This window comes from Homo sapiens, chromosome 8 (genome assembly GCF_000001405.40).
Source record: "Homo sapiens chromosome 8, GRCh38.p14 Primary Assembly".
In the NCBI taxonomy this organism is placed as follows: Eukaryota; Metazoa; Chordata; class Mammalia; order Primates; family Hominidae; genus Homo; species Homo sapiens.
Genome location: NC_000008.11, coordinates 124059613 through 124080447, shown reverse-complemented (window position 1 = coordinate 124080447; position 20835 = coordinate 124059613). Strand labels below are relative to the sequence as shown.

Below are 20835 nucleotides of genomic sequence, written 5' to 3'. Positions count from 1 at the left end.
TACTTGGGAGGCTGAGGCAGGAGAACAGCTTGAACCCAGCAGGTGGAGGTTGCAGTGAGCCAAGATCGCGCCACTGCACTCCAGCCTGGGCGACAAGAGCAAAACTCCATCTTGAAAAAAAAAGTTACCAAAAACAGCCCACTATGGTTGAACTTCCAGTTACCCAGGGAAAAATTAGCCTTATACCAACTTGTGTCAATGAGGTACTATCCCTAGATGCAAGGGTGGTTTGGGAAAACAGAATGCATCATGAAATGGGCCAAAACTGAGACGGTGAAAGCATGAAGAGCCTCTGAGCTTCAGAGGAACAATGTTCCATTGTTCATTTGGTCATTCATTCATTCTTTAATTTATTCATTCGTTCATTCAGCATTTATTATGTGTCTACTATGTGCCAGGCACTGCGATTTTTAAGAGATAAGTAAAACAATTTCTTTCCAGTGGGGAAGGCAAATAAGAATATGGCTAAATCAGGTGGCAGGAGCTCCAACAGAGTTATGGGGAGGGTGTTACTAGTACACCTGTCTGGGGAGGGGTGACAACAGAAGGTTTCACAGGGATGACTCTTTGGCTGAGCCTTGAATGCAGATGGGAATTCTCCCTGCTCCAGATCTGCAGAACTTCTAATCTTAGCCATTTTCCCAACCAGGTCAAGCTCTCCGATTACACAGACTCAAAGGCCCCTGTACCTCTCCCTTATAGCATTCATCATACAGGCAATTTTATATCTGCCTGATTTTTCTTTTTTTGTATTCCCTGCCTCCTCCATAAGGGTGTAGGTTCCATGGAAACAGGGTCATGCACCCTGTATACCTCTCCAGTAGCTGGCACATAGTGTGCCACCAAAATGACGACCTGATTGGAAAGAAAAAAACATTTGCAATCTACTCACAGGGTGACGGTCAGTTTCATGTGTCTACTTGACTATAGTCTCCAGTTATTCAATCAAACGCTAATCCAGGTGTTGCTATGGTGGCATTTTTTTAGATGTAATTAACATCCACAATTAGTTGACTTTAATTGAAGAAGATTCTCCTTGATAATCTAAGTAGGCTTTAACCAGTAGAAAAAGCTTAAGAGCAAAAACAATAATCTCATAATAAAGAGCAAAAGCAGTATATATTGCTATGGGTTGAATTGTGTCTCCACCAAAAGATAAGTTGAAGCTCCAGATCCAGCACCTCAAAATCTGACCATATTTGGAAGTGAGGTCTTAATAGAGGTAAATCAAGATATAATGAGGTCATTAGGATGGGCTGTAATGCAATATGACTGGTGTCTTTGTAAAGAGGAAAACTTGGCACAGAGACAGATGTGCACAGAGGGAAGATGATGTGGAGAGATGCAGGGAGCAGGCCATGTGGAGATGAAGGCTGATATTGTAGCAATGCATCTACCAGCCAGGGAGCACCAGGGATTGCCAGCAGATCACCAGAAGCTGGGAGGGAGGCAGGGAGGCAGGGAATAGAGGCTCCCTTGCAGCCCACAGAAGGAAGCATCCCAGAACATCATACTTTCAGTATCCCAAACTGTGAGAATGAATTTCTGTTGTTTCGGCCACCCAGTTTATGGTACTTTGTTAAGGAAGCCCTGGGAAATTCTCTGTCTCTCCTCTGCTAGGTCCCTTCCTGTGGTGGAACCCGGATTGATACCCATAGTTCCTGCCACATCACGTCCTCCCTACACTCTGGACTTTGCAGGGCAAAGAACACCCATCCCTTCCCACCCATCCCATCCCACCTGGGATGCCTTCCCAGGGTCTTCACAGGACTTGCAGCAGCCTATTGTAATCACGCATTTATTTGATGCTCTCTCAATATTCATGGGCACCTTGAAGGTACAGACTGTGGCTTGATCCTCACTGTGTCCCAGCACTTAGCAGTGTGCCTGACACATGGTGGATTCCCAGTAATTGTGAGGAATAAATGAAGTTCTGCAGGTGGACAAGAAAAGAAAAGGCATGTCATGGTGAGGGCATAGCAAGGACAAAGTCCTGCAGATGTGAATGAGTAAGGGGAGGTCGAGCTGGTTTATTAACCCATTAGGATCTCATCATTTTGCTTTATGGTTAATTATCAAGGTGGTGGAGACAATGGCAAACATTCTGGGAAACTATAAGAGCCATGAGGAAGAAACTGTCAAAGCCTACAGACATGCATCATATCAAGATGACGTGGAGATAGGGCCCCATTAAATCCCACTGACAACTGACTGGCATTTTGTTCATCTGGCCACCCACCCACCCATCCATCCATCCATCCATCTGTTCATTCCACAAATGCATATTGAGCACCTGCTCTGTGCCAGGCCCTGTCCTAGGTGCTAGGGATGTGGCATTAACCAGACTAGACTAAGTCCCTGCTCAAATACTTCTTACATTCTAGTGGGGAGATGGGAGATGGCCAATAAACCCATAAACATCTAATCCATGTCAGAGGCTACGAAGAAAGGTAAAGCAACGCAAGATACCAGGGCACCAGGGGTTGGAGGCTGTGACACCCTCACACCGATACTGAGGCACTGAAGTTATGAGGAAGGATTCCGCAGACCCTGGCTCAAGCACAAGAACCCTCTTCTCTTCCTGCTGGAACATTGTGGGATTGTGCTGGAAACTTTTGTTCCTAAGTAAAAATTAAACACATATCCAACTAAACATCCACATCTGGAGAGCTTTTGGATGAGGTGCTGCAATGTCAGAGGCAGGAGGGAACACTGACTTCATCGTCCTCTTCTCGTTTGCCATGGCCATATAGCACGGATAGTAAAACAAGTCTAGTTCATGGCACTGTGGTGAAAGTAGCTCATAAAAAGTGCCTGCCAAGCGGTTGTCACACTGAAGCACTAGTTACATAAGTGGCAGGTGACGATAAAGGTCATCACTGGATGAGGGAAGAAAGGGTGTTTCCCCAGCACTGTCATTCTCATTAATCTGGACAGGCAAGATCATTTATTGCCCTCATTTCCTCAGGAGCAATAAAATGTAAGAGGCTAGTGCTGATTAAATGTCAGAGGCTCCAAAGTGATCACAGATGTGTAAATGAATTTAAATGGAGCCAATGGAGATTTTATGCCATGTTCCTGTTTACTCAAGATAAAAGAAATTAAACACACTAAAGATGTATCCATTGCTACAATAATTACTAAGGTGGGGAGCAAGGGAGCTAATGTGTTCTGAGTGTCAGTTGTGTGCTGGCATAGGCAATGTGATGTGCTAGGTGCTTTACATTTAATCATCTAAAGGAATATGAGAGTCAGGTGTCACTGTTGCTGCTTTGCAGGTCAGGAAAACTAGGAACAGAGAGGTTAAGCCATCTGCATAAGGTTGTAGAGCTGGTATGTAGCAGAGTGAAACCCAGGCCACCTTGATTCCAGAGTGAATGACAGACAGGTGCACAAACTCAAACAGGGAACACCAATGCTTAGCACATCATATTGGAGGATCAGTGAGCATGGCAGGATTGCTGTGAGCTGGTGAATGCCTAGTCCCCTTACACAAATGCAATAGCTTTTAACACTTTACAGGAAAACAAAGCACAACTTGAGGACAAAGTTCAACTCTTTGACCTCAGGGGTCACCTCAAATGAACCACAGAATAATATGATAGAAAAATCCCTTTAGTAGGAGACAAAAGACTAAACTTCTGGCCCATTATTCTCCAATTGTGTCATCTGAACTTGAATATGTTTCTTAACCTCCCTAGACCTTGGCTGCCTTGTTTATAAAAAGGAAATCTCTGCTCTGTTCAAAAGCACAAGGCCGAATCCAATGACCCTGCAAGATGCCTATTAAATCTAAAATCCAGAAAATTGTAATTAGAAAGCTGTGAGTATATATTTCTCTACTTAAGTTCACAAAAAAAGAAAAAGAAAAAAATTACAGTAAAGAAAGCTATGGGTAAGAAGATCACCAAGTACCACCAAATTCCTCAGGGGACCATGAAAGAATTCAACCCTGCTCCATGGACGTAGGTTTGGTTGGTTATTACCAAGAGCAGAAGCCAGTATTTAACCTCCTGGAACCATTTCACCCAGGAACACAAACATACACGCACTATCCCCACAGAAACACAGCAGGAGCAAATGCAGAAAGGACAATAAAACACAGCCCAGATGGCCACTGACCTTCCAAATACTGGGTTCAGTTGTTTAGGGATGTATTTATCCCGGTCTTTGATTTCTGTCTTGCCAAGCTTGATCACAATGTAGGGATCTGATTTGCCATCTGGATCAGCTGGACTAAGATTAAATGCCTGGAAAGGAAAAAGAAAATGTCTTTGGTTCAATAGCTCTCAACATTGGTTGTACACTGGGATTACCTTGGTGCTTTCAAAAATGCTAATGCCTGACTTCTGTCTCTAGATAGTCTGATTTAACGGGCCAGGGCTTTGGGCTTTTGAAAAACTCCCTAGATAATTCTAGTGTGCAGCCAAGGTTAAGAGCCACTACTTTAGCATCTACATTTTGCTGCTAAAAAGAAAAATTATTGGCTTTGCCCAAGTGCAACTTTCTCTGGAGTCATCTCCTCAGTGGAAAGAAGCTCTTGGCACAGAAAAATGAGAAAAATGCCGGACCAGGAGGCAGAAGGCATGAGTTTGAGTTCTAGTTCTACAGTCACGCACCGCTTAATGATGTCTTGGTCAAGGACTGACCACATGTACGATGGCAGTCCTATAAAATTATAATGGAGCTGAAAAATTCCTATGATCTAGTGACATATCTGTTGCAGCATTGTAGTGCAACACATTACTCGCATGTTTGTGGTGATGCTATAAACAAACCTACTGTGCTAACAGTCATATAAAAGTATACAATCATGTATAGTATATAATACTTGACAATGACAATAAATAATGATGTTACTGGTTTATGTATTTACTATACTTTTTAGTCTTTAGAGTGTACTTTTTCTATTTATTAAAAAAAGTTAACTGTAAAACATCCATAGGCAGGTCCATCAGAAGGCATCCAGAAAAAGGTGTTATTATAAGTGATGACAGCTCCATGCGTGTTAGTGCCCTTGAAGACCTTCCAGTGGGACAAGATGGGGAGGTAGAACACAGTGATATTGATGATCCTGACCCTGTGTAGGCCTAGGCTAACGTGTGTGTGTTTGTTTTAGTTTTTAACAACAAAGTTTAAAAAATAAAACAATTTTAAAATAGAAAAAAGCTAATCGACTAAGGATATCAAGAACATATTTGTGTACAGCTGAACAACGTGTTTGTGTTTTAAGCTAAATGTTGTTTTGACCAGCGTCAAAAGTTAAAAACTTAAAAGTTTATAAAGTAAAAAAGTTATAGTAAGCTAATTTATTATTGAATAAGGAAAAATGTGTGTTATAAATTTAGTGTAGCCTAAGTGTACAGTGTTTCTAAACTCCACAGTAGCAGACAGTAACATCCTAGGCCTTCACATTCACTCACCACTCAGTGACTCACCCAGAGCAACTTCCAGTCTGGCAAGCTCCATTCATGGTAAGTGCCCTAGACAGGTGTACCATTTTTTTCAAATCTTTTATACTGTATTTTTACTGTACCTTTCTATGTTTAGATACACAAATACCATTGTGTTAAAATTGCCTACAGTAGTCTATACAGTAATGTGCTACACAGGTTTATAGCATAGGAGTGCAATAGGCTATACTATCGTGTAGGAGGCCATACCATCTAGGTTTGTGTAAATACAGTATGACACTTGCACAGCACTGAAACAGCCTAACAACACATTTCTCAGAACGTATTCCCTTCGTTAAAAGATATATGACTATATTTCTTCTTTTTCTTTTTTTTTTTTTTTTAGACAGTATCTTGCTCTGTCACCTAGGCTAAAGTACAGTGGTGCAGTCTTGGCTCACTGCAACTTATGCCTCCCAGGCTCAAGTGATCCTCCCACCTCAGCCTCCCAAGTAGCTGGAACTACAGGCATGAGCCACCACGCCCCACTAATTTTTGTATCAGAGATGGGGTTTCACCATGTTGCCCAGGCTGGTCTCAAACTCCTGAGCTCAAGCAATCTGCCCACCTTGGCCTCCCAAAGTGCTGGGATTACAGGCATGAGCCACTGCACCTGGCCTGACTACATTTCTAAGTAGTGTGTGATATTGGGCAAATCATGTCATCTCTCTGAGATCTATCTGTAAAATCATGGTCTGGACCTGAAGGCCCTTCCCAGAACTAATGGTCTCTGAATCCATGACCCTATGACTCTTGCATTTAGCACTGACCAGTTGAATGATGATCTTTTCTGAGAGTAAAGTCTGATTCTAGACAACCTAGGCCTTAAACTGTCAAAAGCAAATACTTTCTAAGGAAAGGCCAGAGTAGGAGGATGGTAAGAAATGGTATCAAAAAGATGGAGAAACTCTGCAGCAATGAAAGCTGAGAAACAATTCCATATTTAGGACTCTATCCTGTAGATAGAATAAGGTGAGCCTATAAAGCTGTATGTTCAAGGATGTTCACTAGAACACTGTTTAATAGCCAAAAATTATAAGCAACCTATTTGTTGATTACTTGGGAAGAAACACAATGCAAAACAGTCCTTCCCATTTCTTCTTGTCACATCAGCCAATTTTAATTCTTTACAAAGCAGTTATCTGTGACACAAATCCTGTTAATTTATCCGTTCCTTTGTTTATTTTATATCTTCTTAATTCCCACATCACTCTCAACTAGTATGTAATCTCCATGAGAGCAATGGCACTGTTTATCTTGTTCATTACTTTACCTCTAGGACATAGAACAGGGTCTTAATATTTGTTGAATAAATGAATACATTTATTCAAGAAAATGCTATACAGCTACTAAAAGGAATGAAGACCTATACATACTAATCTAGAAAAAAATGGCCAACCTATCTTGTAAACTAAGGAAAAAAAGAGGTGGGGAAATTTGATTTATTTCTTTATGCGAGTTTTAAGTAGTATTTTTTTTACTTGTTAGTGTTCTTTTAATTAAAAGGTTTGAGAATTCATTTAATTATTAGTACGAGAGCAAACCACACATAATCAAACTACTAGAAATATCAATGAAAAGTATTGACTGTCCATAACTGTAGTGAATTTACCTAGGACTGCCATCTTCTGACTCCCTGTTTGTTCAAGTCCCTCCTGTCGTCAAGTTCCAGCCCAAGGCCTCCGTCCCCCATGCTACCTCCTGGACAGAAACCTGATCTGTTTATCTGGCCTTTGCCTAGAAGATAGTAAACACATAAAAGGTGTGCAGTAGATATTTTCTGAATGAATACATGAATAAGGAGACAGATCTTTCTCCAATCTCTGTAGTTCACAGAAATTCTTCCCTCTCCTTCCTACTGTTCATACTATTTCTGGATTCCCCAAACTGTATCTTAGAGAACTATAGCTCTGTAAGATTTTCTGCAGGGGAAAAAAGGTATGAGGCAAAAGTTTAGAAAATGCTGTTCAAGATTACTAAATAGGTTTGTTTGCTTCTGAAATTCTCAGAGCCTTGAATGTGCTAATGAGCTTTGTGAGTCTCAAAGCCTGGAGAAGGAAATACACGCTACTTCTCAAATTTATTTGAACATACGTTCTGTTTGCTAAGGAGTGCCTGTTTCTCCCAAAACCCAAGTGACTTCCTGAACAAAATTTTGAAAAGGTTAGTCTAAAGCATCCTGAGGCATCCTGAGGGTGGTGTTTCATGTTGACTACCCAACATTGTCAGTGACTCTAAGTTCTTCTCATCTTTCCAACTACACTGTGACTTCCCTGAAGGCAGAGACTATGTTCTTTTCATCACAACATCCCTGGCACATGGTGGTTGTGGGGAAGATGCAGAGGATGATGAAGGAAACCTGAGAACTGCATGATGGAAGAATATTTATTTCTCCCTTAGCATTAAAGGATAATTCATTTTTATTTTGTGTTACATTTATGTTCCTTTGAAAGAATGTAGGCAATGGAAGCAAACGGTTGATATAAAATAAGAGCATTATAATAAAATAATACAATTACAAAAACCACATCCAAGGTCAGGAGATTAAAACAAATCCATGAACCATTGGGGTTCATACAGTTGCTTTGATGGAGCATTAAATTTGGCCCTGAGCTTCCTGCTAATGAGGCCGAAAAGTTTCATAGTCAAAGTTTTGTGCTGTCATTATCAGAAAGAGGGAAGCTTAGAGGAGTTAACATCTTTCTTGGAAATACACTCAAAGTGAAATTTTCTACTGCAATAGTGCAGAGGCATGGCTGTGAGGAGAATTTCACAGTAACAGCTGCCCTGTTCTGCCTTGGTCCTTCCCCCCGTCTTTCCTGTAGTTTCCTGCTTCCCTCCTATTTGGTTCCCTCTCCTGCCGTAGGCAACCATAGGGAGCAGATAAAACTACACAGACGGAACAGTCCTATATGCTCAGAAAAGCCATAACATGTCTGTTTTGCCAGCCTAACTTCATACCCCTATATGTTGAACCCCTAACTCCTAAGGTGACTGTAGTTGGAGACACAGCTTTAGGGAGGTAATTAAGGTTAAATGAGGTCATAGTGGTGCTGCTCTAATATGACAGGGCTAGTGTCTTTATAGGAAAAGGAGGAGATATCAGAGCTCGCACTCTCCCTATATACACGTGCACAGAGGAAAGGCTGTGTGAGGACACAGCAAGAAGGCAGCCATCCACAAACCAGCAAGAGAGGCCTCACAAGACACCAACCCTGGTAGCAACTTGATTATAGACTTATGGCATTCAAAACTGTGGGAAAGTAAATTTCTGTTGTTTAAGCCTCCCAGTCTGCCATATATTTTGTTATGGCAGCCTGAGCAGATAAATACACCCCCTCAGAGCAAACAAGAATGGCTCACCGCGACAATGTATACTCTGATCAGCACTGTGACAGGGTGATTGGGCGGAATCCCTTGCTGGATTCTCAGCTGCCCGCTGTCCTCAGAGCTAGAATCCTGGGGGCTTTTGTAGATGCAGAAGGAGCCCTGGAACCACAAAACGCAACCCATTGAAATGAGATGGTCATATGTCCCACCAAAACCCACAGAGAGCACTGTGCTGGGAAAATGGGCACAGCTTGGGAATTTGCAGGACCTGGTTTGGTGCTAAACTTGCCAGTTGGGTGTCCTTGGGCAATTTATGTAGCCTGCTTGCATCTGAGCTTCTTCATGGTACACCAGTGAATTGGCATTGTACATTAACAACCCCCTCACAGGACTGTTATATGAAGAACAGAACAGATGGGACACGAAGTGCCTTTTACATGTGGGGTGCGGTGCTAGTGCTTCCCCATTATCTCATTCAATCCTGACTGCAGTATTCCTATTTCCAGACAGCAACTGAGGCTTAGGGAAGTGAAGCACTTTGTTCCAGATCATGCAGCTGGTTAATACTATAACTAGAATTTGAATCCAGATGGGCAAACTGTAATGCCTGTGCTATTTCCAACATAGCATGCTGCATAGAAAGGGCCCAGCTTGTAGTATGTTTATAGTGAATGCTGGCTACTACTTTGTGATGTTCACACTGTAAGTCTGCCAGATGAAGGGCTTGTGTTGCTTGATTAGTTTAATCGTCCAACTGGTAGGCTTGCATAAATCACACATTTGGTATGCCGGAGGGGAGAGAACAAAGTAAAGTTCAGTGTTCCTTTCAGGTAATGACTCTGTCTCCTTATTTTTCACCAGACTGAGCTCCAATCCACTGGTCACAAACCAAAAATATCTTAAAAGACTGGGGCTAGGTTTTGTGGAGTTCTAGAGAGGGACTTGAGTAAAAATTAAGGATTTTCCCTACACACATCCCACACCACAATTCCATTAACAGAATCGAGTCATAGCTGACATTTATGGACAGGGAGAGCCAAATAAAAGGATTAAAAATGGAACCTGCCTTAAATTTTCCTATGACTCGGTCTCCATCAAGACCATGGTCATCTTCCGTAGACTTGCCTCTGAAGAGCTCAAAAGTTTTCACCCAGTCTTCAAAATTGTTGAATTCACTCTCGAGATCACCGTCATATATCTTTAGGGAAAAGGGAGAAGATTGTGCTAAGAGGAAGGAAAGCCCAGGATTGATTTAATGAGAAATGCCAAGATTCTCCAAAACCAGCCTTGATATATGCCCCTTGGGAAAATCTGAGGCCACTGGTAATTTATCTTCAGTGAGATAAGGAACGTGGATTGGCTCAGCACTCCTGAAACTACTACTATGAAATGTTCTGATGAACTTTTAAATTCCAAAAAGTATAGGTAAATTTAAAAAATTGTAATATATAAGTATAGATACAACAAACCTTTTAGAGCTAGTTGATGCCATTGGTTGTTGGATATAGACTATAATACTTTGAGGAGATTCAAATCAATAATGTTCATTAAATATCTAATTCTGAACACATATAAGGCGATGGAATATTTGTTTTTATTGTAATGCATATAGACATGAAATTTCCAGGTGGAAAATTATATATATGCTTTGGAAATGCAAAATTGAGTTGAGTTTTAGGTTTGGTAGTATAATTTACTTATTCAACTTTCCTATATAAATTGCTTACCCAAGTTGGTTATCTATATATATAATTTTCACCCTTCAAATTTTCATAGCCATCAATATATCTCTAGCTAATACCCTCTAACTAATGTTAAGATTGGCCTAATGGAGCTGACTTTAGTTGGAGTTAAATCTCCTGTTACCTTGAGTGTGTACACATTTGCATGATGATGACAAGCACCTAGAGATGGGCCAAGGGGAGCTCAAATGCTGTAGATTACTTTGTAAGGTCCACATTAAACAATTTAAGTTACACCCCTTCTCAATATGAGGGTATAGGAAATGGAAAATGAACAAGCTTCCTGTCTTGGCTTAAATGCACATCAAAGTTTACTTCTCTACATCGGTGACAATGAAGACAAAATATCAAACAAAGGCATGACTAGGGTTGACCAAAGCACTGACAGAACCTCATTGCTGAGCATCCCTCCCCATCCATGGCAGAGATGCCTGTGTCCCCACATACCTGCAAGATGGCCAGGTTGGGGATTCCATCATCTTTGGGTTTCTTCTTGAGCATTTTGTCTTTCTTCTTCTTTGGCCCATCTTCTATATCTACCACTACCTCATCTGGCTTTGCCTCTGTGGATATTCAGCAGAAATTAGGTTTCTCATGGCGGTTGAGATGAGAAGGAACAAAGCCAAGCTCCTTCTTTCCTTTTGCTGACATGTCCTATGTTGTGACCCTTCAGAAATAGTAACTTGTGGCCAGGCACGGTGGCTCACGCCTGTAATCCCAGCACTTTGGGAGGCTGAGGCAGGCAGATCACAAGGTCAGGAGATCGAGACCATCCTGGCTAACACGGTGAAACCCCGTCTCTATTAAAAATACAAAAAATTAGCCAGGCATGGTGGCGGGCGCCTGTAGTCCCAGCTACTCGGGAGGCTGAGGCAGGAGAATAGTGTGAACCTGGGAGGCGGAGCTTGGAGTGAGCCAAGATTGCACCACTGCACTCCAGCCTGGGCGACAGAGCAAGACTCCGTCTCGGAAAAAAAAAAAAAAAAGAAATAGTAACTTGTGACCCTTCTTTTTAAAAAGAAATAGTAACTTTTTGCTGTAGGATTGTTACATACAGTCTGTACACTGCCTGACTGCAGGGCACCCCATGCACATATAAATCCAGCGTCAGTGGATCCCCTAGGGCTGAGCAATAGGAATAGGGCAATGGCCCTAATCTATGGGCCAGTGGGTTACAGTACATGTAAGAACTCATTAAACTAGGCACAGAGAGAATAAATAATTTGCCCATTCACCCAACTAGCAAAGAACAGACTCAGAACTTGGACTGACTCCAAAGCTTTTTGGAGTCACACTCTGTCAGATCCATTAAGGGAATTGAGATACATCTAGTTCAATATGAGGCTCAAATATCCTAAGGGTCTTGCGCAAAGTTGTTAGGGGGATTACTCAGTAATTTTTTAGCAGTAGGCTCTGCAGGGGAGAAACCACCTGATACGGACTGTAGCTCTGTTATTTTCTAGCTGTGTAATGTTGGACAGATTACTTGACCTCCTTGTACCTCTCTTTCATCATTTGCAAGGTGAAGATACTATTTCCTATGACATGGGGTTGGTCTTAGAATTACATGTGCTAATTAGGAGTGGTCTGAGGAACTGAGCCTGGCTCTAGTTTTTCCACTTCTATCATCGTCAAATGAAACAACATTGGCTGCTTAACGTTACAGTTGTATTTAGGCTGAGACTTACTGTTGGCTTGAATTGAGTTTGTGGTCATTTGAAATCTGACTTTCTGCCAAACAAGATCTATCCAATCCTGTAGACTGAGTTTTGGAACTCACCTCTAACAAAGTTTATCATGTTGATTTTGGCCAGTCATCCAGATTGCTTCTATTTTTATTCTACGGTTTCTACATTAAGACTGTCAACATAGGAACTTGAGCCAAAGGGTCCATTCCAGCACTGAGCTGAATTCAGAAGAACTGAGATCTGGTTCCAGCCCAGCACCAAGAGCTACATGACCACATTTTAAAGTGCTGTCATCTTCCTGAGATTGTTTCTAAACTCGGGAAAGGAGGGAGTTGAGCTCTAATACACCTCCCGTGGCTTCCATTTTACAATTTTCTCGTAACGATGGCCCTATTCTATGGACAAATGTCCCCAGAATAACTGCTTACCTGTATTGCCTTTTTTTCCCTTGGGATTTCTCTCCTTTGCCTTTGAAAAAGGAGACAATATTATTGACACCACAATACTTGATTTATTAATTGACTGCTAACAATTATCTCAGCCCTCTGCATTCCCAGAGACACTATTTTAAAAGAGTATTCAAACAGTCTGTAAGCAGTCCCCCAAAATGAAGCCGCACTGTAAAGATCTGGGGGTTAAGCCCAATAGGATGCCCTATCCTAAAAAAGAGGTATCCGCACTTCCAAGAAAAGTATGATCAAGCTATAGACATCTTTGTCCCTTATATGCAGTACCCTCTCAGCCACGAGGCAAGCAAACTATCTCCCCAATATTTTTCCACCTCCCTGGAGCATCTCCCTCATCTGCACCATGAGTTGTGTCTGTTGGCGTTTCTGGTCTTTGGGATGGTACCATAGGTTGGGGAGGTTAGCAGAGAAAGGGGAAAGGGCTGAGTTCTCACAGGAAGTGATAGTGTCCATTGCAGCAAAAGGAGGGAGGTTGCAGGCAGGGACTAACATTTGCTTTTTCGGTATATATCAATATTTGAGAAATAGTCCTAGATGCAACCATAGCCTTTCCAAACTAAAGAAGCAGAAGTGCATTCAATTAAATACAACATCGGAGTAATTTTTCTTCCCTTTTGTACTCAGGGAAATCTTACCATATCCAGTTGCCGAGCTTTTGCCGGACTCTCCAGGCCTACTCCCCACTGTCTCTCCAGCTTCATAACTAGATCTGTCTCATTCCATGGACATGAGGCCCTGCTCTTGCTATGTAAACCCACTTATAATACCATTTCCTAAGGCCAAGACCTCTGCCTTTGATAATTTCCCATGTGAACTTAGAATCCTGCTGAAGACTTGGGGTCCTTAGACTAGGGTATCTCCTGAGGCCTCAGTCATTGATGCCCACCTATCCAGAGACCCCATTTCTCCCTGCTGGACCCCCCTGAGTCTGGCTGTGGGGGCAGATCCTCCAGATACCATGCTAGACTGAACATCCTTCCAGTATTTACAGCAGAGCTTATGTCCTAGGGCCAGCTCCAGCCAAAAAGTAGGAATTTTGTAATTCCGTATCTCTGGTTCTTCCAGGCTTTTTACCTTTCTGCAGTTAACAGAACCACACCTGAGTAGGGTCTATGTATAGTGGCATTTAAAAGGAGGTTATGTAGGACTTAGGGTAGGAGAAGGTGCTGTGTTTCCTTATTGAATCTCTTAACTGCCACAGGTAGGGGAGACTCTACCTTCTGGGCTTTCTTCAGGGAGGCATAATACTTAGACCACCAGTCAATCACGTTTTCAGCAGATTCATCTGCTATGGTCCTCTTTCTCCTCTTAGTGGACCTCCGGGAAGGCTTCCTGGGATCCTGGCAAGGGATGAGGGAATGGGTTATTAGTTCAACCTCATTTGGCTGCATGCTGATGGTCAACTGGCTTGTGAGGAAGAAAACATTTAGGTGTCCACTGGAAAACACACAGAGGTATCCACTGGTTTTGTGATAGCAGCTCTCTGTATCACTTCCACAAATGAAAGTTCAAGAATCTATTCATTCATTCACTCATTCATTTAGCATTTATTGAGCATACGTGAGATACTGGTTTTGACATTAAGGATGTGTGGAGAATTAGACACAATCCTACTCTGGATACAGTACAGGAGCTAGGCATGCAACAAATGAGAACTACACTACATGATGCAATGCAATATAGCAGAAAAGGCATTAGCTTCATACTGACCTGGGTTATAAATCATTAAGCAATTAATATAAATGTTGTAATTCTCAGTTTCCTCAACTAGGGACAATAATACCCACAACTGTTCTGAGGATTAAGTACATAATTTAGGCAATTCTTTGGTGTCATTTCTGATTTGAATGGGTACAAGTAAATGACTTCTATCACATAATTGATGGGGTGGCAGGAGAGGGAGTGATAGACGTGTGGCAGAAAGGTGGCATTCATGGAAGAAGACGGGTGTCCTGCTGGAGCCTATGGATGCAGCACTCATCATGCATTCATCTTCCATTCACTCGCCAAGTCATCTCTTAAGTTGTACTATGACCCAGGCACTCTATCGAGTGCGGGGGTATAGAGATGTTGAAAAATTATCTCTTCTCTGCTGAGGCTCACAATTTTATGATTAATCTGAGATGAACACTGAATGATGAACACTGAATCCGAGAAGTCAACAGAAAGTCACAGGTGCAATGCTAGGGGAATGCAGCAAACCTGGTAAGGCGTCACAGAGGGTCGCTGACCATGGATGAAATGAGAGCAGCCCGTGCAAATGTCCATGCATCTATCTCACTTTTCCACTCTTCTTTTTATCTCAGCCTTTACCATTTGCTGGGCAGGCTGTTCCTTAAGAGCTGCTTTTTTTTTTTTTTTTTTTTTGAGATGGAGGCTCGCTCTGTTGCCCAGACTGGAATGCAGTAGCATGATCTCGGCTCACTGCAGCCTCCGCCTCCCAGGCTCAAGTGATTCTCCTGCCTCAGCCTCTGGAGTAGCTGGGATTACAGGTGAGTGCCACCACACCTGGCTAATTTTTTGTATTTTTTTTTTTAGTAGAGATGGAGTTACAGCATGTTGGCCAGGCTGGTCTTGAACTCCTGGCCTCGAGTGATCTACTCACCTCGGCCTCCCAAAGTGCTAGGATTACAGGTGTGAGCCACCATGCCCGGCCCCTTAAGACATTCTTAAAATGGCCTTCTCTTTTAATTCAATTGATACACCAAGATTTTTCACTCAAATATATAATTTAGAAAGATTAACTATATCCTTGTTTTGTGGTTCTTTGTGTACTTGTCAATCTCTCCTTCCAGAACCGTCACTAACTGTTTTCCTCCTCTTTGGAATCCAAAAGATGCATCTTCTTGGTCCCATATGATCTTGTACAAAGTAGGACCTAAATATTTGTGGAACACACTTGGAGGAAGAAACCCATGGCCTTTCCAAGCTAATGAATTAAGAAGAGTTTCCGTTCCATTAAATATTACTGTCACATTTGACCAGCACTTTAATTTCATGCACATTAACCTTCTGATCCTATAACAAAGCTGTGAAGTGGGTAACAGTATCCTCATTTTACAAAGGATGAACCGATACTCAGAAATGTGAAGCTGCTTGCCCATGGTCACACTGCAAGCAACTTCATATTGTCTGAGACCTGCAATGCAAACTCCAATGAGCCTTGTAAATATAGAGAGGGATTTTAGTCTGACCTTAGGTTTTCCATCTTTTGGTGGCTCCTGGGCTACAGGTGTGTGTTCAGGCTCCAGCATCGGGGATGAGTCAGGGACGTCAACCAGGATGGCCGGCTGGGCCTGGGCAGAGTCGGGCACCACTGTGGGAGGTGGCTCAACATCCACATAAATGTGATCTGCTGGGGGATCCTGGGAGGAGCTGTGGGCTCCAGAGGACTCAGTGGCTGTTAGCGAATCTGAAATATCTGAAATGAAAGCACATCAGGTCAGGGAGCTGGGCTGCATCACAGGGTGGTCGTTTCAGGGACCTAATACTAGGAATCAGACAGATTCGGATTCAAATACGTCAGGTTGCTAATATTTCTGAACCTCATTTTCTTATGTATAAAATGACAGTAAAAATACCCATCTCACTAGGAGGATGAAATAAGACCACGATGTAAGGCATCTGGCACATAATGGGTCATCAATAAATGGTTGTATTTGTTATTGATTCCTCAAAGTAATTTTAATCAATTGTGGTCATTGGGATTATGAAAATCAAGGTTTAGGGTGCAGATTCTGTGTCTAGGGGGATTGTCCCCCTGCTGTGTGTTAATCTGGGGAGGCTTTGGAGCTCCAGAGAGCCATGAAGCCGCCAACTGTAGGCAGAACTCTGGGCACAAAAGTACATGTGCTTGGCAGGGAGCAGGGGTATGTCCAGAGTTCATGAGATTCTTAACTGGGCTTCTGATGCCATAGAAAGGTTATAATGCTGTCCTTCACTGCCAATGGTCCTCATCTCTCCGTTTTATGCTGTAGGAGTCAGCACTCAGGAACATTTCCCAGTTCGGTACCCCCATGGCTGCCACAGACTCCTGAGTTTCTCTCTCCCCATTTGCTGACTTTCCAACAGCAAATTCAACCCAACAAACTCTTATGGGTATCTACTCCATACTGGGCATAGACACAAAGAAACCAGTGAGACAGACTAGAAATCTCAGAAATGGACAGGGGATGTATGACAACTTGGTTTATGAGAAAGATGGCAGTACAAATCATTGGGAAAACGAATGATAGGTTAGTAGACCCTTTGGGGGAAAACGGTGCTCTATGTGGAGAAAACTGCAGCTGAATCTCCACTTAAAATCATATATAAATGCAGATGATTAAAGATCTAAATGAGAAAGCTAAAACTATAAAGCTAGCAGAATATAAGATAATATCTTTGTGACCAAGGGGTGAGAAAGCGTTCCTTAAACAAGACTAAAAATATAAACTATAAAGTTTAAAACATGGAGGGGTCTGAGTATATCTCAATTAAGGATTTCTGCTCATAGATAGGAATTATAGACAAGGTTAGTAGTTATCATACTAGGAAAAGATATGAACAATATCTACAATCTACAGGATTTTAACATCTAGAAAATACAAAGAATTTGTGAATCAAAAAGAAAATTAAAGCACATAAAATATGGGCAAAGGACATGAACTGGCATCACAGAAGGAAGATTAATATGGCAGCAAGGGTATGAAGGGTGTGCAAACAGTAGCAAGCAGAGAAATACAAGTTAAAATAAAAATTAGATACTAATTTGTGTCCACAGGGTAGCAAAAAACTAAAACCAAACCAAAGCAAAACAAAAATCTAGAAAGTTGGATAATAGCAGGTGCTGCTGAAGAGGAGAAAAATGGGGTTCCAAATGCAGAACTGGCAGTATAGACTGATGTAGACTGGTGTAGATCAGTGCAGCTCTCTGGAGTGGCCCCTGGCGCTAATTAATGAAAATACATGTGCGTATTTACTGGGACCTAGTCATCTCACCCCTGGGTGTACATTCCAGAGAAATTCCCACATAGCGTCTTCCCTCAGGGAACACACACAGGGATATTCATTGCAGCACTGATCATGGAAAGGGGAGTTGAGGTAGTCAATGGGTCTAATATGAGAGGAAAGGAAAAGTAAATTGTAGATGCAGCGAGTAATAGTAACAGGCTAATGTACACACAGCAATATGGATAGAGCTTAAAACAGAGAATTGAGTGAAAAGAATAGGAAAACAAATGAAAATTATAGCATCATATTATTTAGGTAGATTAAATCGACTTAAATTTGACAAGGATGCTGGCGTAAGGCCTGCAGTGGGGAGGGCACTGGGATTAGAGATAAGGAATAAGGAGGACAGTGGATAGAATGAGAGAATCTTTGAATAGACCAGTGATGATTGTAGAGCATGGAACTGAGACGTGCAATGAACTCAACTTTGTGCACCTGAGATCCAAAATTGAACAAACTAAAACAACATCAAGCACAGAGCCAAGTAAAATGTCAGCATGGAGGCAGGAAGGAGCTTAAGTCATATTCAAGGAAGGCATGTTAGAGTTACTGACCCAATGTGAGTCAAAGTAAGAATGTGGGAGCCAAAGAAAGCAGAGGCCCCTGCAGGAGCAAGCTCATCAGAAAGATCCACCCAGCCACTTGGCTGTGGGGCATCCTCTTTGAGCCAATCCCACAGCAGGCACTCTGCAGGCACCATGACTTTATAGTTACAGCTACAAAATCTAAGAGCAGCTTCTCACCGTGCCCAGGCTGGGTTCCATCCACCTGTGTGATGGGGGCAAGGGGCTCTCTGAGTTTACACAAAAACTGCTTCAAGTAGTTGATGGTGTAGGTGCCCACAAGGGTACTCCTCCCAAAAGCTCTCCAGTCCACCACGCAGATGCTCAGTGGCGGGTGCAGAAGCTCGTTCTCAGGCAGTTCCTGCAGAGAGAGGATGAGATGAAGAAGGGGCCTGGTGACCCTTCCATGGGCAGACCCAAAGCCAGCTGGGCATCCAGTCTCCCTTGTCTCTGCCTTGCCATTCTGTCCCTCCTGGCCAGTCCTGCAGATTGCCAAAACTCTGGAGCAGTGTCTTCCCGAGCCAGGGAGTAATTCACCCAAATAGGAAGTCTGCCTTAGTAACAATTTGTCGCAGGTTTAAATTACAAAACCTCTCACCTCTGCACTCTCTCTGACAGTCATTTTCAGACCTCTTTATTTTGTCATTATCTGCCAACAGAACTCTCATCTCCAAAGACAGCTTATCCAGGCCCATTATATAAAAGAGATGAAAGTCGAGCCATTTAATACAGAGCTGAGAGTGAAGGGACAGTGCCCCAGCCACCTGTTTTCCCTGGTGGCCCCCGAGACTCAATGCAGCCTGATACAAAAGGTTTGCAAACACCATGCACATTCTTCCATTGTAGGCTTTGCTAACTGGGGATATATGTCCAGTGGAGCAGGCTGGGTTGGGCAAAGCAATTTTTTCTTTGCAATTAGTTTCAAATCGAAGCACAAAAATGTATGCTGAAATATTGAAATAAATAAAAGCACAGATGTCAAAAAAAATCACTTCAGAAGCATAAATTCACATGTAAACTCCTGACATTCTAAGTACAAATACTTTTTTAAAAACGTAGCCATTAAAATAAATCTTATTACAGTATTTTCTAGGCCAGTGGTTCTCAAATTTTATCATATATCAGAATTACCTGGAAACCTCGTTAAACCAGAAACATCTGGCCTTCCCTGCAATAGTTTCTAACTCAGAACAGCCGGGCCTGAGAATGAGCATTTCTAACAAGTTCTCAGGTGATGCTGATGCTGATGAATTGGGGACCACACTTTGGGAACCACTGTTATAGGAAAAAGTTTGTCAACCTGCTTTGATTGCTGTATGATCCACACTGGAAACGTTTCAAAACAAAACAACAACAACAAAAGTCTATTTTATCTCATTCTGAAATTCTGGCTTTTCACTAAATTAATTCTTTCTCGCAGCTAGTGGACATCTGAAACCCTAAAACATCTCATCTGTGCAAAAAAGAGGAATGAGCCAGGTCGGGAGAGTGAGAAGCTCGCACCACTTCGAAAGCGTCTGCCTGGATGCTGAAGTTCGGGTTGTTCTTGTAGCTCTGGATCACGCAGGACTTCACACCTTGTCCTCCGCACTCAATGAGAGCCTGAGGCCGATCCACAGAGAGGAGCTGCACCTTCTTCATTTCCCGAACTCCCCAGAAGAGAACCTGAGGAAAAGACCAGCAGAGCCATCACCACAGATCCACGGAGGAGCCCCACACCTGCCCTGGCTCTGTGTGGAAAAGTTAGACCTGCTCCCTGAGAACCACGCTGTGTTCCTCCAGGAAAGAACTGCACAGCTTTTTGAGGGCTCATTCTTTTTCTCTAGGTCTCCCGCCCATTCCATATCACCTCTCCTACAATTCAGGTGGGGCCACTGCCCTTGAGTGCCAAAGAACAACTCAGCTCCTCCGCTGACCCGTACCTCCACTCGGTATTTGCTCAGCACCGGCCGAATGTTGGCAGGAACCGGGTAGATCTGGGTGATGTCTGGTGGCTCAACGGGTGGGAGGCCTTGCAGCCCAGAAGGAGGAACCTACCGCACAAGGCAAGTATGAGTTAGATGCTGGAGAGACACAGGGAAGGCAACAGTGCCACACAACCACCTCATCAGTAAGATGTTCACTGTTTTGCCAACAAAAGTAATGTTTCCAGCTTAAAATACAAGGACCATGCATTTTACCATATTTAATTATTTATTAATTGATAAATGCAGTCATTTACAAGGGTAACCAACATTTAGCGAGCACTTAAGATGTACCACAAGGCTAATAACACAGAGCTCACAGTATAGAGGGGAGAGAGAAAAACAAATACGGAAGATGGTCTTTACAACTTAATAAAATTACACAAGAACCACAGCAGGGTAGTGGAGAAGGAGCTTCTATCAGTTTCCAAACATTTGAGTCTTAATGATCCCCACTCCCTTCGGACTTGTCAAGATCTCCAGAAAAGCCATTATGCACTACTACTGCTACTAATACTAATACTACTACTACAATAAAAGGATGTACATTTAATCCAACAGAGACTGCATCCTAATCAGTGAAGCAGAAAATGAAATGTTTTGAAGGCAGATGAAAACTTGTCTCTTCTTGTGCAC

At 42.5% G+C, this 20835-nt stretch overlaps 1 protein-coding gene and 1 long non-coding RNA gene across 11 annotated transcripts in view; one reads left to right on the top strand and one right to left on the bottom strand.

Annotated features, from left to right (window-relative positions):
• Positions 1-20835, bottom strand: part of FER1L6 (fer-1 like family member 6) — a 268075-nt gene that overhangs the window by 39614 nt on the left and 207626 nt on the right. For 8 of the 10 annotated variants that reach the window (NM_001039112.2, XM_011517231.3, XM_006716618.4 and 5 more), the window contains 10 exons: positions 20158-20268; positions 19739-19900; positions 18416-18596; positions 15875-16101; positions 13898-14020; positions 12642-12681; positions 10973-11088; positions 9850-9981; positions 8817-8942; positions 4123-4250 (listed from right to left, as the gene is read on the bottom strand). In NM_001039112.2, the coding sequence (NP_001034201.2) occupies positions 4123-4250; positions 8817-8942; positions 9850-9981; positions 10973-11088; positions 12642-12681; positions 13898-14020; positions 15875-16101; positions 18416-18596; positions 19739-19900; positions 20158-20268 (1346 nt within the window). Of the gene's footprint in view, positions 1-1732; positions 1934-4122; positions 4251-7065; positions 7191-8816; positions 8943-9849; positions 9982-10972; positions 11089-12641; positions 12682-13897; positions 14021-15874; positions 16102-18415; positions 18597-19738; positions 19901-20157; positions 20269-20835 lie in introns of those variants that run through there. The other 2 variants (XM_011517235.4, XR_928347.3) reach the window with 2 other exon arrangements.
• The window catches only part of FER1L6-AS2 (FER1L6 antisense RNA 2), a 125452-nt gene that overhangs the window by 91075 nt on the left and 13542 nt on the right, over positions 1-20835 (top strand). Inside the window, exon 2 of the long non-coding RNA NR_103547.1 lies at positions 19656-20280. This is a non-coding gene — a long non-coding RNA (FER1L6 antisense RNA 2). The remainder of the gene's footprint in view (positions 1-19655; positions 20281-20835) is intronic.